The sequence below is a fragment of the Homo sapiens genome, chromosome 2 (assembly GCF_000001405.40).
Source record: "Homo sapiens chromosome 2, GRCh38.p14 Primary Assembly".
NCBI lineage: Eukaryota > Metazoa > Chordata > Mammalia > Primates > Hominidae > Homo > Homo sapiens.
In genome coordinates, this window is record NC_000002.12 from 188,515,626 (window position 1) to 188,534,228 (window position 18,603).

At 34.9% G+C, this 18,603-nt stretch overlaps 1 protein-coding gene across 69 annotated transcripts in view; it reads left to right on the forward strand.

The window, feature by feature from the left end:
• Positions 1-18,603, forward strand: part of GULP1 (GULP PTB domain containing engulfment adaptor 1) — a 304,053-nt gene that overhangs the window by 223,752 nt on the left and 61,698 nt on the right. For 67 of the 69 annotated variants that reach the window (NR_164744.1, NR_164745.1, NM_001375929.1 and 64 more), the window contains 2 exons: positions 7,131-7,202; positions 13,472-13,570. The exons of 1 other annotated variant lie outside the window; for it this stretch is intronic. Coding sequence is in view for 66 of the 68 variants with exons in the window: in NM_001375929.1 (NP_001362858.1) it covers positions 7,131-7,202; positions 13,472-13,570 (171 nt within the window). In the remaining 2 variants the exon portion in view is untranslated. The remainder of the gene's footprint in view (positions 1-7,130; positions 7,203-13,471; positions 13,571-18,603) is intronic. One more of the 69 variants, NM_001375952.1, reaches the window with a different exon arrangement.

Below are 18,603 nucleotides of genomic sequence, written 5' to 3' on the forward strand. Positions count from 1 at the left end.
TGTGTGATCAAAATATAATATGTGTGTCTGTGATCTAGACATAAAATAGACATAGATACACATACACACTTACACACACAGACACACACACACACACACACACACACACTCATGAGGATAAAATCCATGAATACAGGGACATTTTTACCTGATCGCTACCCAGCACTTAGTAAATGCTAGACTGATAGTAAATACTCAAAAATATTTTAAGGAATAAATGAGCATATGTTAAATTAACAGGTTATCTTCTGGGGGCTTAATTTCATTTTTATTTTATCAAATAATCTATGTCCATTTAAAATAGTCAAATATTTCTCCAAAATTTATAATGAAAAAATTAAAAAACAAAACCTTCTCTAGCCCTTCTCCTAAGCCTCACTCACTGAAGCAACTGCATTTTGCTTTCCTGTCTTTTGTTATTTTATTCTATTCTGGATAAAGTGTTGTACTGCTGTGCTTTTATTCGTCATATCTGTAGTGGCCATCAACACCCTCCTGACATATCTGCCCTGTTTCCTGGGCTCATTACTCCCTCTGTTTTATTTTAGTTCCTTCTTTTCTTACTGAGAACTGGGACATGGCAGGCAATTTTTTGAGCCTCTGCACATCTCAGTATGAATTTTTCTTTCCTCATAGCCTGGAAACTTGGTTCAAAATTATCATTTCCCTCAGAATTTGAAGTTACTTTCTTCCATTATTGCTGATGTGAAGAAGTCTGATGTCATTCATATTTCTGGGTTTTGTTTTTGTTTTATTTTTTGTTGTTTGTTTCTCTCTGGAATCTTTTGTGATTTTTTTTCAATCTCTAGTGCTTTGATGGTAAGCCTCTTTGTGCTTGTATATTTGTTTTCACTCATTAATATAACATTGAGTCCCTTAATCTGAAAATTTATACCTTTGGTTCTGGGAAAGTGATTGATAGTGTTCTATCCTTTAGTTTTTCCTCTTCTCTATTTCTAGGACTCTATTTGGTTTAATGTTGGCTCTCCTAAAACAGGTTCTCACCTTTAGGCATGCATCAGAATCACCTGTAGAAGATATTAAATCTGATTGCTGGGCCTCACTCCCAGTTTCTGATTGAGTAGAATTTGTATTTATGACAATTTCCTAGTTATGGTAGTTGATGCTACAAGTCCTTGGACCAAATTTCGAAAAACACTATTCTAGACCAATTCTTCAATTGTTCTAGTTCGTATCTTATTTTAAATATCTGGCTTTTGCACTCTCTGTTTCCTTTCCTTGGCCTGCATTTCCCCAAATATCTACCTTTCTGATTGTTTTACATTTCACCTTATCTGTGACATCTCCTCTGAACATCCTATTTAAAATGGTATGACACAGAAAGCAGACACAGTCACATACTCTGACTTCCACCAGTTCTAAGTAGCATATAATTCACTTATTCTTATTAATATTGTTTGGCTCACCCACTAGGATGTAAGTTCCATAAGGGCAGGGAAATTTGTTTTTTCAGTGCATTTAATAAAACATTATTTTTTTTTAATTAACAGATAATATTGTATGTTTTTATTCTGTATGTTTTGAAGTATATATGCATTGTGGAATGGTTAAATCTAGCTAATTAACAAATGTATTACCTCTCTGCTGTATTCTTAACTCCTAAAATACAACCTGAAAAATTGTAAGCATTTAATAATTACTTCTTATAATTTTTTCTAACTTTATTTTTTAATATTATCATTTTTTAATTACCTGAGTCATATTTTTAAATTTCTGTCAATTCTCTTTTGTTCTTTATGTGCTACTTTTTCTAGCATCCTGGTTTTATTATGAATGCAATATATCTATATTGACTGTAGAGTATTAGCCATCATTTTTTTTATTGCGCTCCCTCTACTTTTCTAACCATTCCTTTTGTTGCTGTTTTTTTTCCCCCAGTCTTTTCATGTGAGAGGCTTTTCTCGAATATATTCACATACTTGCTGTGTTTTGATATTTAAGATCGACTCACTCAAAAGCCAACTGGCGGTTCTGTGGACTTGAGCAGGGCTTGTCATCTGCTGACTGATCAGGTGACCCATCTATTTCACATGGAAACGTTAACTGTCAGCATAGGTTGTCTTGTTTTCCTCGGTCTGTTTTCCTCAGGGAAAAATTCTTCTGCTTGGAGGCTTATAAGATTAGCAGCTAGTATCCTGGGAGCCAGGCTGAGAAAAGAGTCTAGGGGAACTTTCAATCCTGCATGTGGACTTCTGCTTAGTATCTTTGTCAGTTAGGTGCCTCACTTCTGCTCCCAGCCATGCTTACTAGCATTTTGCAGCCCAGAGGTCCCCGGCCTAATTCTTCAGATAGTTAACAACTCTTCTGTTGGGATAGGGTGAATTAATTCCCTGGTCACGGCATGATTCCTTTTTTTTGTTTCACCCTCCAGGAACCAGGCAGAGTGGAAAAGATAAAAATCAAAGTTTGTATACTTTGTACAAGCCTTTTGATGGCACTTAGGACAGTTATTTATGGGTTTATATACTAGACTGTATGTCCCTGGAATGTAAGCATTTAAGCCTTTAACCAGTGTCTTAGGCCAGTTTCTCCCAGAAATAAATCCCAAGGCAAAAGATTTAAGTGCATATGATTTATTAAGGGGGTGCTCCCAGAAGAAATCAGTAAATGAGTAGAAAAAGCAGAGCCGACAAGAAGAAAAAATGAAGGAAGAGTAGACATCAGCTGGAGCCACAGCATTAGCCTAATTCCATGGTAAGCTCTGCATCATAACATTATACCTTAGCGTTTACCTCACCTCCAAACAAATAAGCTGGGCTTTTGTACCTCCACAAAACTTGTGGAGTTACAAAACTTGACTTGGCTGACTTTCCTTAGCCAAGTCAGTCGTTGGCTAAGGAATGTGATGATGGGGTGGTGTGGGTATGGGAGGGATGAAAAGAAACTCCCATATGCTTCTAGCTCTCAATACTGGCAAGGTGACTTTGACTTCATTGCCCAAAAGGAATACTCTGGAGGTCTTGAGTGTGAGTCATTACCAGCAAAGCATGTGGAAACTGGAAGATGGGTCTCTGAGTTGATAAAGTGGATCCCAGGAGAACTGAGCAGGCACCAGTTGTGTCCACTAAACCCTAGTATCTTCCCCTAACAATCATTTGATAAGGGAATGGCAATCCCTCATAAACAACTTGTAGTTTAAAGAGGTTTTCTTTTTTTCATCTCTTACTGCAATTTCTCTTTAGAATGATTTTTCAGGAGAGAAGAACAGCATTTATTATCTCTATCTTTCAAAAGAGTCAGACAAGGCAGAAATTAGGGGACTTTCCTAACATTCTCAGATTCTAAATCTCGAGCTTGTTCTAACATGCTACCTCATATCTAAGAGTTTTATAAGTATTTTAGATAGGTGTAAGAAATGCACATAAATATGAATTATTTAATCTATATATCATGATTTTTTGTAATTAAAAAAATACAGGAAGTATAAGGCATAAACTTTTTTTAGTTTTAGCATGATTGTCCTATAGGTTTTCTAACATTACATAAGAAAAAGTTGGGTTAAGTAGAGTGCTCCATATTAAGATATATTTTAATTTAATACCCACCATCACTCAAGGCTTCTCCCAGTGTTGCATTACACAAAGGATTTAATTAAAGCTAATGTGAAATAAACATGTTAAAAGGTTTCCTGGAGCACAGCTAGAGGTTGATTCATTTCAAATATACTTGGAGTTCTTCCATATTTTTCCCCTATGGCCTTATTTGCATATAATACTTTTGACTCATGACATTCCTGCTGAAGTTTGAATATTCCTCCAGAAATACTGCCAGTAAAACTTATAGTCTATTACTGATAGACCAGACCCTTCCTTCTTCTAGTTCAATAATTACTTCCCCATAAAGGATCCATCTTTGCTTCTCTGCTCCTGCTAATCCTAGACCATCCACTAATCGCAGTGATATGATAAATTCAGAGAAGTTGAGAACTGTTTACCCCAGGGATGTATTCAGAACTAAATAGTTTCTATTATGTTAAATCCTCTTCAGTTACTTGAACTCTTCTTCCTTTCTGGATGATCTGAAACAGTGCTTTTCAAACCTGGTGGCACATTAATATCGCTTAGGGAGCTTTAAAATATATAGATGGCCTGACTCTGACCCAGGCTAGTCAAATCAGACTTGCAGGCAATAGTAATAAGATTATAGCTTCCAATATGATTCTTTCTCTTTTTTTTTAAATTGAGACAGGGCCTCACTGTGTTGCTCAGGCTGCCCTCAAACTCCTGAGCTCAGGCAGATCTCTTGCCTCAAACTCCTGAGTAGCTGAAACTACAGGTTGCATATTAAAGCACCATATCGTAACCACTGCACCTGGCTAAAACGCCCCTATGATTCTGTCATTCAATCAAGTTTGAAAACACTCATCCCAAACTGGAGAAATGTGACAGCTCCATTGGTGTCAGGAATAGATTTGGCTGTCTTCCAATCTTGATAGCAGGATTTCATTTCTTTTTCTGCTTAAAATTTCTCATTCACTTTGGTCTTTTATGTATGCCTGGTCAACCAACAACTGGAGGTCACAGTGAGGCAAACTGAAAGCCTGTTCATATCTTATCTAGGGCCTCTTAACAATTTGGTATATTTCAAGCATATTAAAAAAGGAACTATTGGCCGGGCGTGGTGGCCCACACCTGTAATCCCAGCACTTTGCGGGGCTGAGGTGGGTGGATCACGAGGTCAGGAGATCAAGACCACCGTGGCCAACATGGTGAAACTCTGTCTTTACTAAAAATACAAAAATTACATGGGCGTGGTGGCGCGTTCCTGTAATCCCAGCTGAGGCTGAGGCAGAAGAATCGCTTGAACCAAGGGGTTGAAAGTTGCAGTGAGCCGAGGTTGCACCACTGCACTCCAGCCTGGAAACACAGCGAGACTCCATCTAAAAAAAAAAAAAAAAAAAAAGTAACTGTTGTCCCTTACAGAATCTGAAAAGTGAAACTTCTCTTTGCCTCAGTGCAACTGAGCTTTACTCTCTAGCCTCCATTTGTTCATCAGAAAGGGAACACCAGTTGTTGCCTGTATTTTCAACTCATCTTTGTACCTACCTTCCACTATCCTCATGGCCTGTTAACTGTTTCTAACTCTGTTCTTTAGACTTTGGTACAAGGAGTCACTTGCAATGCTTCCAGAAATATAATTCGCTTGCCCTACCTCTAAAGATTCTGATTTATTTGACCAAGGAACATGTATTTTTACATTTTAACCAACGCTCTAGGTAATTTTCATGCCAGTTGTGCAGCGAACCCATTTTGAAAATCAAAACTCTAATTTCCTTAGTGATTATTTTTTTCAAGAATGAAGGAAGGAATAAGAGATAGCATGACTTTACTGTATTTTCCCTTCTATTCTGTAAGTTAATACATGAAAAAGATTCCACTTATGGAATTTTTGATGTAGTTTACAAACACGTATTCTCCTATGTCTATACATAGGAGAAGTGATTAATTCGTGAATCTCTTTGGTCTTATAATTGGTGGTATGTCACAAGAGCAAAAAAAAATCTTTGGAAAATTACATATATTTCATGAATTTAATGTTTGTTTGCCCTATATATAGAATTTTTTCTAGAATAAAACCTGTATATTTCAATTCTAATTGGTATTGAACATTTAGTGATACTAGACTTCTGTTTAGGAGGTATTATATCTTTCCAAGGTAGAGATTTTATTGCAGTGTGATAATTATTATGAAACTTTTTTCACTTTTTGGATTGGTCAGGTTTTACTTAAACACACTTACTGTATTAGTCTGTTCTCATACTGCTAATAAAGACATACCCAAGACTGGGTAATTTATAAAGGAAAGAGGTTTAATTGACTCACAGTTCCACGGGGCTGGGGAGACCTCAGCAAACTTAAAATCATGGCAGAAGATGAAGGAAGAGCAAAGTCATGTCTTACATGGCAGCAGGCAAGAGAGCTTGTGTAAGGGAATACCCCTTCATAAAACCATCAGATCTCATGAGACTTACTATCATGAGACCGGCATGGGAAAGACCCACTCTTGTGACTCAATTACCTCCCACCAGTTTCCTCCCATAACACATGGGAATTACAGGAGCTACAATTCAAGATGAGATTTGGGTGAGGACACAGTCAAACCATATCACTTACTGACTACCTTCAGGTTTATTTAAAACAGTAAAATTGGCCGGGTGTGGTGGCTCATGCCTGTAATCCCAGTACTTTGGGAGGTGGAAGCAGGCGGATCACGAGGTCAGGAGATCGAGACCATCCTGGCTAACACGGTGAAACCCCATCTCTACTAAAAATACAAAAAATGAGCCAGGCACAGTGGCGGGTGCCTGTAGTCCCAGCTACTCGGGAGGCTGAGGCAGGAGAATGGCGTGAACCCGGGAGGCAGAGCTTGCAGTGAGCCGAGATAGCGCCACTGCACTCTGGCCTGGGCGAAAGAGTGAGACTCCGTCTCAAAAACAAAACCAAACTAAAACAAAACCAAAAAACAGTACAATTGTAGATCATGTATGTTTTATTTCTTTAACTATAGCTTTACTTAGTTGTATATCTTGGCTATTAAAAGAAGCTTGTATTTTAAATTCTACATGTTAGATGAGTCTCATAAGTGGAAAACAAAGAAAAATGTTTACTTGAAAAAAAAAGCTAATGGCGAAATCTTTGGCATCAGCAGGCAGAGGCAAGTGGGGAGAGACGTGAGAAAAAAAAGAAATTGTAAACTTTGAAATTTACTATTGATGTTAAATATAGTAACAAAATACAATTACATGCTTTGAATGAAAAATAATTTTTAATTACTAATAAGTTTACTAAATTTTAACTGTTGAGATCAACATTATTCCCTTGGGCCTAATAAAATAACTTTAGTTTTCTTTCCAGTAAAAATCTACAAGTAAAATATTTAGAAAACAAGTATGTTTTTAAAAATAATCTTTGATTAACAGGAAGTATAAATGATAAAGTTTAGTTACATTTTCATATAATATAAAAATAATATAAAATAATAATTCTATTTAATTAACATATGAGTTTGCATTACTATTAAACCATTCTATTATGCAATCTTATATTTCAACATGATGCAATGATATATGATATGGTAAAAGCCTGTGTCTCACAAATGACCATTTTCAGTTTCTTGGCAGTACAGAAGTGGAACAGCCAAAAGGAACAGAAGTTGTGAGAGATGCTGTAAGGAAACTAAAGGTAGGGAAAGGCCTTCAAATAAATTACAAGTGTATTGACTCTGTCATGTTTTCAGCAGATTGATGGAGATCAAAGCATGAACAGCTTTGCTGCAGGTATAGCTTCACCCTATTAAAAATGAACTATTGAACAAATGTAATCATATCAAGGAAACATTTTTAATAACAAACATGTACACAAAATTGTGTTTAAAATATGGCATACTGTTCACATTTTTCTAAGGTATAATGTGTCATATTAAAAATAATATTTTATGGCAGTGTGTCTTGAATATTTGTTTTGTAGCTTGCCTTTACTTTGCTTGGATAATGTGAACCTATGTCCCAAATCAAAAGCTAGTAATGGCATAACAACTGTCTTTAAAAGCTAAGATATAATATCCACCAGTTAAAAATGTGGAGTCAGAGTTGATTCCAGCCAGAATTTTGCAGTGACACTGTATGTTAAAGATTTCCTAATCTACAGGTCCAACAGGATCTGGCAATGTCCGTAAGTAGCCATGGGGAAACTGGTGAGACTAAGAGAGGAGAGAAGGACATTTAATAAGCAACCCCACATATCCTAGTCAACAAGTTTCCTGAGAAAATCTTACATAAGATGCTACACACCATGTTTTTCTAATTGTTCCGCATCTCGAAGGACATTGTTGTCACTGAGCTTTTGAAATTTACAAAACTCCTTCAACAGAATTCTCAGCTTTATCATATAAGAAAATACACATTATCACTACTTTTTTTTTTTACACAGTTAAATGTTATTCTCTATAGTTGCTCTCGTATTTTTGGAGAAACAACCCTTCTCTAACTTTATTTGGTTTAGGGACCATCCGGTTATTCTAAAGGAGGGTTAGACCTCTGAGTGTGCCAGGCAAAGTCAGAGACATTAAATGGTATTACTTTGCTTTGAGAATATCATATCTGGTGGAATCCACTCTGTGTTTAAATTGAGAAATAATTGAATTGGCATGACTTCTATTCTGGGTAAAGAAATAAAGGTCAATAATATTTTATCCATCTTATTTTATATGAGAATATTTTACTAATCGTTTTAAGTAAATATGCTAAAATCTCCGAAGATAATATCACTCCCATTTGGGAAAAAAGTGGATTAGCCAACTATTTATTTCCACCATTCATTAGGTAATAATTCAGATTTGCCTTTTATTGGCCACTAGTTTTAATCATTCCAAAAGAGGATTTAAAAGGGCTCACAGTTTATGGACACATTAGAATAGGATTCTATTTAAATGCTTTTAAAATGTTGAGGATTCTGGGCATGAATCCAACTTCACTACAATCAGAATGTTTTATGAAAGAACAATGTTATTTACACATAGTATTTCTTTATGCCTAGGAGGTTGTTTATTCAGTCAACCCAAATCAAAAACCAAAAAAAATTCAATTGAATAATGAATAGATCAAATGTAAAGATATATTTGAAATCAAATGCTTTCTAAACAATGACGAGTTTACATATATTTTGCAGGATTTTGTATGTATTTCTATGGAGTTTCATGTTTAGAAATGTACTCTGTTAATAAAAGAATGTGACCTACAATAAGGTAAAAAATTAGGTAGTATAGTTTAAAAATGCACACTTATTTTATAGTAGCTGTTTTTTCTCAAATGTCTTCCAAAAGGGAGTGTATTTAATAAGCAATTTTACTGTGCTGATTGCAAACATTTTGTATATCAGGAAAGTATATCTAAGGGTAATGATTCATACACTAATGATAATGAATAAAACAATGCTTTTTATCTATTTTTATATATATATATTTTTTTTTTGCTTTTTTTGTGTGTCAAGGGTCAGAAGCTACAATTCAAAGTATACTAAGAATATTTTTTAAATGTCAAGCCTGGCGCTACTGGCTCGCAATGGCCAGTAGGTGGTGGTGTGGCTCTACTAAAAAAAAAGAGAAAAAAGAACCTTGCTCTTTGATCATACTTACACATCTCCATTTTAATTTCCTGCTTATTTTTCTTTAACATATGAATTCTGACTACTTTTAAAAAAATCTATATAATTCAGTATGTGAATTTATTTGCCATGTAAGGTAACATTTTATTTATATTTACTCCTTTTTCAGCAATATTAATGTAATGGCTTCTGATATTAAAAAAGAATTTAAAATTTAAGAATAAAAGCTGATGGAAAAATTAAAGAATTCTCAACAATGAATTTTTCATGCTTCTGTGTTTAATGATGCCTGCTTAGTTTTCAAAAAAATTTAAAACTGACTTTTTTACACTCTTTCTATCATTTTTTAGAGAATTTACAGTTTATAAATTTTTCCTTTATAAATATAATTATTTTTATAAGTATTAACCTTTTAAGGTTCAGATACTATATTTATCAAAACATGTTCTTTATTTCCTAATCATGTTCAGCAGTTTCTATTTCTTAATCATGTTTTAGCTGGGCTTGGTGGCACACACCTGTAATCCCAGCTACTTGGGAGGCTGAGGCAGGAGAATCACTTGAACCTGGGAAGCAGGGGTTGCAGTGAGCCGCGATCGCGCCATTGCACTCCAGCCTGGGCAACAAGAGGGAAACTTCATCTCAAAAAACAAAAAAACAAAAACAACAACAAATAAAACAAATTTTCTAAAATGTAGTAATTTTAAACCCTTTCAACTTCTATGTATTGAATAGCATTGTTATTGGAACGAATTTTATTTTTAATAGTGATTTATATATATTTTATTAATACAACTAGTACAGATGTTGGGGGCTGAATGTATTTCATACACAATTTGTGATGTTTACATGTAAGTAAGTATTGATATATAGATTAAAAGCTTATCAATTTCCCTGGGAGATACCCAGTGGGCAGCATTCCTGGAACCCAGTTTTAGACTGAAGATCCCCTCACTGCAGTACAACTAAATTAAAGTTACACGAAATTACTGCAAGAAAATGTAGCCGTTGGGAATTGCTGTCAAGTCTTGTGAAGTCTCAGCCTAGTAGATTTTCCATTTGAACTCACTCTTTCTGTGTTGTATAACACTATTTTGTCTTCACAATCAGTTACCTAATTAATAAAACATTTAGAGCTTAATTTAATTATATATAAACATCGCTCATTTCCCGCAGGATTATTAGAAATACTTTAAATTAAAAATATAAACATGAGAACCCCAGAGAAGAATAGCTTCAAATAATAGGCCCGAAGTAGTAAATTAATTTTATTGCCTAACACTCTATATTCCATTAGTAGTTTACTTAATTTCACTTTTTAAAAAGTCCTCTGAGAAATGGATAGAAATTATATAATAAGATTGAAACTCAGTTGTGCTCCCTTTAAATTTTCTTTAACAGTTCTATTTATCAGTAGTATATATTTAACCAAATACTTTATTTCAAGTACTACTCCATCCTTCCCCATCATTTTATGATGACAAAGGCTTGGTTATATTTGTTTGTTGCATCCAGTCATTCTCCAAAATGCTTATGCATCACTTCCTTTGAATACTTTTTATTGGATTATTATATTCAGGGTTTAATGGCAGATCACTGTATCCATCTAGATCTACCAAGAAATAAATCCACTGAAGCAAAAATTGAAAGAAATTTACAAAAAAAGACTCTTCAAGCATTAACATTAAAGTAGTAAATAGGGAGAAAATAGAATATAATGTTATGTAGATTGATCAACATATCTTCCTAAGATTAATTAGAAATATTAGGAAGGCAAGAGGTCTGTAAGTAGGAAAAGGGACTTAGAGGGGAGCATGCAAACTATAGAATACAGTTAGCTTAAGTTTTAGGAAAAAAAAGAAAGGCAGGAAGGAGAATATTAAACTGAATAAAATATAGATTGAATGAATATAACCTTAGGCATGAGAGTTGTGTAACATATGTTCAAAAATCAAGGCCAATAACCAGTGTAAACCTTGATATGCATGAAGGTAGAACTGGGAATTTTCTTTTCTAAATGCAGAAAATATATTGTATAAAAGAAAAAATTATTTGGTGAATATCTGCAAAACTAATTACTAGGCCTAATTCCTAAAAACCCACTTTATGACCATGGTACATAGCTTATCTGGGACTTACTGTTCTTATCTTTGAAATAAGAAGCTTAGATTGCATGAACCTGAAGCTGTTTTGAGCACAATTAATTCATCCTGTTATGAAGAAGAGAGAAAAGTTTCAGAAAACCTAGATTAGAGATGTTGTGCTTATTTTTATTTTTCTTTATCTCATTCTGTCCTTCTTCCCTCTCTTCCTTTCTTCCTCCCCACTCCCTTCTTACCTCTCCACTTTGTTTTTCTACCTCAGCCCCTACTTCCTTCCTTTCTTTAATTCTTCCATTCTTTCTTCCCTTCTCAATAGATAAGTTTAATAATAGTGGTTGTTTTGTTGTAGATGTTTCAGGGGGAAAAAATTTAAAAGGTTGCACAGTTCTTGTCAGAGGTCACAGGAATGCTTGAGTCTGGATGTGGAAGGGGCTTCAGAAGTCATGCTCAGTCTGTTCCTGGAAAACAGCAGCACCTAGGAAACCAGCTGAGAATGCTTCTGCAGCTGATAATGAGAGTTGCTTTATCCAGACGCATTCACATAGGGGGAGAGCAGCTGACTTATTTTGTAAGCCTTCCTATATGAAAACCTTCAAATTGCTTAATTATGCTGATATAAGGAGATTATGAAGGGAAAATAAACAAAATTAATTCATATTATTTGGGAGAGAGCTGGGATAATTTTTAAAGATCTACACTCAAGCAAAATAAATTTATTAAAGGCAAAAAAGAAAATTATCTGGCACGAATTAGTTGTATCGTGCAGCAGTAAGACTGCTGGATACAAAAAATAGCAACCTAAGTTCGTAGAGCAAGACAGACAGCAAGCTGAAAAATTATACCACCCAAAATGGAATAAAACAAATGGTACCCCCTGGGATAGGAAGGCAGACACTTAAAGGCATTCATATATGCATTAATTATATTATTATGTGTGGCAGTGCAAAGCCATGAAAAGAGAGAAAGACTTTTAATCACTCTGTGCTCCAGGACGGAGCTATACCATGTGTATTCACATCTGCCCTAAATTACAGTGAAATACACAGTGCAAGTAACTGTGACATACAAGAGGACTAGAACGCTGTCTTGCATTACATGTCATCAATTTTGAGTCAGGTTGGGATGATCTATATCCCTAGAGAGAAAAAGTTACTCTAGAAAATAACTTTTTGAAGCCCTAGAAGAGGGGCAAGAAATTCTTTCTTCTAATAGTTTTCTTTCCATTTCTTAAAAAGAAAAAGTTGGATGCTGGGGTGATTGCAGAGGAGAGAAGGAATGTAGGGAGAGAGTAAAATTGCCAATTAAAATCAAGATGCCCAGTAAACTTTGACAAATATTTTTTAGTACAAATATGTTCCAAATATTGCATGGGCTAACGTGTATACTAAATACTATATATATGTTGTGTTTGTGCCTATATTTTAAAATTAAAGTTTTAAAAAGAATATTAATTGTTTAATACTCAAGTTTAGCTGGGCTCCTGAAATTTTCCCCCACTAAATTAAGCAATGCTAGGAGAGAGGCAGAGACTCCATCTGCTAAGCACATGAGTATTCTGGTTTTCTTTTTGATTTTATAACAGAATCGAACAAGCATTTACATACACCTACTAACTCAATGAGAAAGTATAATAAATACTACTATGAAAGTATTGAAAAAAAAAACTGTGCTTTCAAGATACTCACTATATTTGTAGTTCTAGACTGAGTCTAGTTCTATACCTGAGTCTTTCAGCTGGGATAATTACTTCAATTCTTAGCTTCAGTTTGGAAATGGTAATCTGCTTCTTTTTATTTATTGATGTGGTTGGATAGAATAGTGTTCCAAACTAGGTAAGTATCTAAAAATGGCAAAGAGGGCATATTCAACAGCTGATGAACTGCAAATTCTCTGAAGATAATAACAACAAAAGATTCACAGAAAAACAAACTGATCTCTACATATCTTCCCACAAAGTATTTTGAGTTTTCTCAACTGTCTGGTATGAATACGTTTTTGTAAATACCATGAAAGAAGTGCATTAAAAATCTTAATTTAAAAAACTTGCTGAAAATCAATGTGAATTATAATGGCTGATTGCTATGATTTTTAAATATATTGAGACTATCTTTATAAAATGCTTTATACTTGGCAAAAATTCACTTAATTAAAGTCTGAAATTGAATATGAACTCCAAATGTATATTTATTTTTGTTCATTCTTTATAGAAATAGAAGTGTAGCTTTGTGAATAATTTTTCATTCGTAGTTTGCAAGACATATCAAGAAATCTGAAGGCCAGAAAATTCCTAAAGTGGAGTTGCAAATATCAATTTATGGAGTAAAAATTCTAGAACCCAAAACAAAGGTAAGGCTTTTTTTTTAATGTTAGAGGCAATCTTTAATTAATTGCAATTATATTCCTACTTTAACAAATATTTAAAATTTTTTGCCACCCTGAACTGTTTAGTTCTGAGTTAATGACAGTTCGAAACTCTAGGAGTTTTAGAAGTGAAAACAACTTTTGGAATTGCATTATAAGTGATCTTTTCTTCAGCTTGTTTGGGATATAATATTAATAACTTATGTTAAGTGCATTCAACAGTGTTTGGACGTGTATTTGGGAATGTTTTTTTCATGAGATGTGAAAGAGATGCATACAGTGTGGTTCACTGAGTATGAAAGAAGATAAAAGCTGTGTGTTATTAAAATATTCTGCATTGACTTTTATTTCCTGTAGATGTAATCAGTGTGTATTAGTTTTTTACGGAGGCTGAAACAAAACACCACAAACTGGGTGGCTTAAACAGCAGAAAATATTTTCTCACAGTTGTGGAGGCTGGAGTTCCAAGATCAAGATGCCAGCAGGGTTAGTTTCCTCTGTAGCCTTTCTCCTTGGCTTACAGAGGGCTGCCCTCTTGCTGCCTTTTCACACTTGTCTGGTGTCTCTTCTTATAAGGACACTCATCAAATTGGATTAGGAACCATACTCATGGCCTTATTTTAACTTAGTTACCTTTTTAAAGGCCTTATCTCCTGTTTGAAGAAAAACTAGACAAATTAAATTTAGCAGAGTTTATTTGAACAGATAATGATTCATGAATCAGGCAGCACTTGAAACCAGATGTTCAGAAAGGTTTGCCCAGCAGCGTGAACATGGAGCTTTTTATAGGCTGAACACAGACTCAAAGGTGACAACTCACCTGATTGGCTATAGCAAGGCATATACCTTATATGGATATGTAGTGATGAGCTGGCTGCCTGTAATTGGCTGAAACTTAGCTATGTGTTATACTTCCAAATTAGTGTTCAGTTTATTTACATACTAGTTAGGTTGCAGTTTGTTGTATAGGAACTCAAAATACACAGACAACCCTAGGTGAATGGCCTCATGCTTATTTAATTTAGCACTCCAACCACAGTCTCATTCTGAGGTGCTGGGGATTAGAGCTTCAACATGTGAATTTTGGGGAACACAATTCAGCCCATAATACAGTGTAAACTTAAGTTTCTTGTATTTAGGACCCTTCAAAGCAAATAAAATATTTAAAAATAAAATCTGTTCTGGATTCAAATTCATTAACATATACTTGTTTTGGACTAAAGTGTTTCCTTCCAAAATTCCTGTGTTCATGCCCTAACCCCTAATATGACTATATTTGAAGATAAGGCCTTCAAAGAGGTAACTTAGGTTAAATGAGATTTTAAGGGTGGGGCCTCATCCAATATGTCTAGTATTCTTACAAAAAGAGGAAGAGACACCAGGGATACGTACACTCAGAGTAAGGACCACGTGAAGGCAGCAATCTGCAAGCCAAAGAGAGAGGCCCCAGAGAAACCAAACCTACCGACACCTTGATCTTAGACTTCTAACCTGCAGAACTGTGAGAAAATAAATTCCTGTTGGATAAGCCACCCAGTCAGTGGTATTTTGTTATGGCAGGCTTAGTAAACAAACACAGTACTTTATTCACAATGCCTCAGAGTTATCATTTAGTAATTTTGATAAGACCATATTAGTCAATTTGGAAAAATTAATATTTAACTCCAATTATTTTATAAATACGTATCGTCAAAGTGTTCTTCTAACACCATAGGATACATATTGACAAATTAATTCAGTATAAAAGCCAAAAGAGGAACTTCTGGCCTGTTAACAGATTATGAAAAATGTTTCCCACAGGTCTGCAACTTTTCTCTAGTCCAGCAAGTGTCTTTGATACCTTCATCTATGTAAATTCCAGTTCCCAGCAACAACTTGCTATTTAAAGTGTGGCCTGCAGACCACCAGCAACTGCATCTATTGGATGCTTGTTAGAAATGTTGAATTTAATGCCCCACTACAGACCTACAGAATCTGTATTTGCAATTAAAGAAGAAACCTAGTGTTTCGCATGCACATTAAAGTTTGAGGGGATCTGCTGTTGTGCATGGTTTAGTGGCTTAATGCGGTAGGCCTCATTTTCAAATTGTAGCTTATGGAATAGCGACATAAAAATTAACTGAGGCATTTGCAAAAGTAATTTCTAAGGCCCCAAATTTGCCCCCAGAATCAGAACCTCTAACTGTGGAAATCTGTAGTAAAGATCAATGGCATACCTTCAACTTCCCATATTAAAGAGCAATGGCATTCCTTTAAACTTTTCAAGACGTGAATTTAAGTCCTCTCAACAATTATCCTGTCTAATCTTCTCTATTATTCACCCTCAATATTCAATTACAAACAAAGATGTGAAGATTTACTTTAGTTACGGCGATTCTAAAATAACTACTGCTAAGGTGGCTGAAAACAGAAAAATGAAATGGTGAAAAGATAGTAGAGGGTTGATTCAAGCATATAATGGGATATATGTAGTTTGCTGGGAAACAAGGCAATTGAAAGCAAGGTATGAATGAGATAAATTCATTAGGCAATTAGCAGTTACATAAAGAACAATAGACCAAGGAAGCAATAAATTACAGAAGGACAATGCAATCAAAAGTGTAGCAACAAAGTGTAGTCTTATGTGTCATGAAAATAAGAATAATCCTATTCCTACATCTTCTTTTCAAAATTAAAAGGATATAGAGTGGTAAATGTCCAGCCGGAATAGGGTATTTGTAGGCCATGCTTATGTTGAAAGTTTTTTTCTACACCATATGAATTAGGTAGCTGTTTTGGAGTGTGTGTACATGTTTGTGTGTGTATGTGTAATTAATATTATTTTCAATTTCTTATCTGAAGGTTTGGGGCTTGTCCCAGCACACATTAAAATATATAAAGCTGATAATATACTTTATGTATCATTTTCGTATGTTCTTGTTATTTTTTATTTGAAACGACCTATGGTATATTCTAAACTCTAATAATTTCACTACGTTCATATACCATAATTTACCAAATTATTCTTCTATTATTGAACATATGGAATGTTTCAAATTTTTTGTTAGTTGATAATCACGTTTAAATATTTACAAAATACAAACACAATTAAATGCAGTATGTAGAGAAAACTTTTTTGGGTTTTAGAATTCACAGGTTAATAATGGCATGTCCTTAGAAATGCATAAAATGCTAATTGCTTAAAGCGCTACAAGATGGCTACCACTAACTACCGCTACAAGATGGCTACCACCTACGTTTATAGGGTATGTGTGTGTGTAAAGAGAGACGAAAATGGATCATGTAATGCAAATGTGGCATGATGTTACCAGTTGGCTAGGTGAAGAGTATATGGGTATGCATTGCAACCTTTTCTATTATTTTCTGCATGATTTCATCTGACCTTTTAAATGAGACTATTTGTTCCAATGAAAGATATGTGAACTGGCTGGGTGCAGTGGCTCATGCCTGTAATCCCAGCACTTTGGGAGGCCGAGATGGGGGAATCATGAGGTCAGCAGTTTGAGACCAGCCTGGCCAACATGATGAAACCCTGTCTCTACTAAAAAAAAAAAAAAAAAAGTAGCTGGGTGTGGTGGTGGGTGCCTGTAATCCCAGCCACTCAGGAGGCTGAGGCAGGAGAATCGCTTGAACCCGGTAGGTGGAGGTTGCAGTGAGCCAAGATCGCGCCACTGCACTCCAGCACAGGTGACAGTGTGAGACTGTCTCACATAAAAAAGAAAAGAAAGAAAGATATGTGAAAAGCTCTTTTAAAGACTTAATCAACAAGTTAGGCTATCATATCTGTTTGGTTTTTCTTCCTTGGCTTCCTGACCACTTGAAGAAGAAACCTACCTTTATGAAACCCAATTGACCAATAACTTATGATTTATTAGGTTATTCCTTATACCTGCTCTCCTGATTGTTGGTTATTTACCTGGAATAAGGATAATTTTTTTTCATTAACTTTAAATATTTGTAAATACAAAGACAGAAATACCAAACTTTTTTTAAAAAATAGCGTATGATACTGTAGAGTGAGGAAAAACCAAAGTGAATAGGGTCAAAAATTAAGCTGGGCTTAGAAAAAGTCTGTGGTACAGCAACAGTAGAGAATAGAGAACCCAAAATTAAAGCTGCACACCTACAGCCATCTGATTTTTTGACAAAGTCAACAAAAATAACAGATGGGGAAATGATTATTCAATAATTGGTGCTGGGATACCTGGCTAGCCATATGGAAGAGATTGAAACTGGACCCTTACCTTTCACCATATACAAGAATTTACTCAAGATGGATCAAATATTTAAATGTAAGACCTTAAAGTATAAGAATCCTGGAAGAAAACCTAGGAAACACCATTCCGGACATTGCCCTTGGGAAAGAATTGATGACTAAGTCCTCAAAAGCAATTGCAACAAAAACAAAAGTTGACAAGTGGGACCTAATTAAATTAAAGAGCCTCTGCACAGCAAAAGAAACTATGAACAGGGTAAACAGACACCTACAGAATGGGATAAAGTATTTGCAAACTATGCATTTAACAAACATCTAATATCCGGAATCTATAAGGAACTTAAACAATTGAACAAGCAAAAAATAATAATAACCCGATTAAAAAGTGGGAAAAAGAAACAGGAACAGGCCCTTCTCAAAAGAAAACAAACAAGTGGCTATCAAACATGAAAAAAATGCTCCGCATCACTAATCAAAGAAATTAAAATCAAAACCACAATGAGATACAATCACCACCATGCAGAATAACTGTTATTAAAAAGTTCAAAAATAACAGATGCTGGTGAGATTGTGAAGAAAAGAGAATGCTTATACACTGTTGGTGGGAATGTAAATTCGTTCAGCTGCTGTGGAGAGCAGTTGGAGATTTCTCAAATAACTTCAAACAGTTACCATTTTCCAGCAACCCTAATGCTGGTTGTATATACTTGGTATATATCCAAAAGAAAAATAAATCTTTATACCAGAAAGACATACACTCTCATTTTCATCGCAGCACTTTTCACAATAGCAAAAACATGGA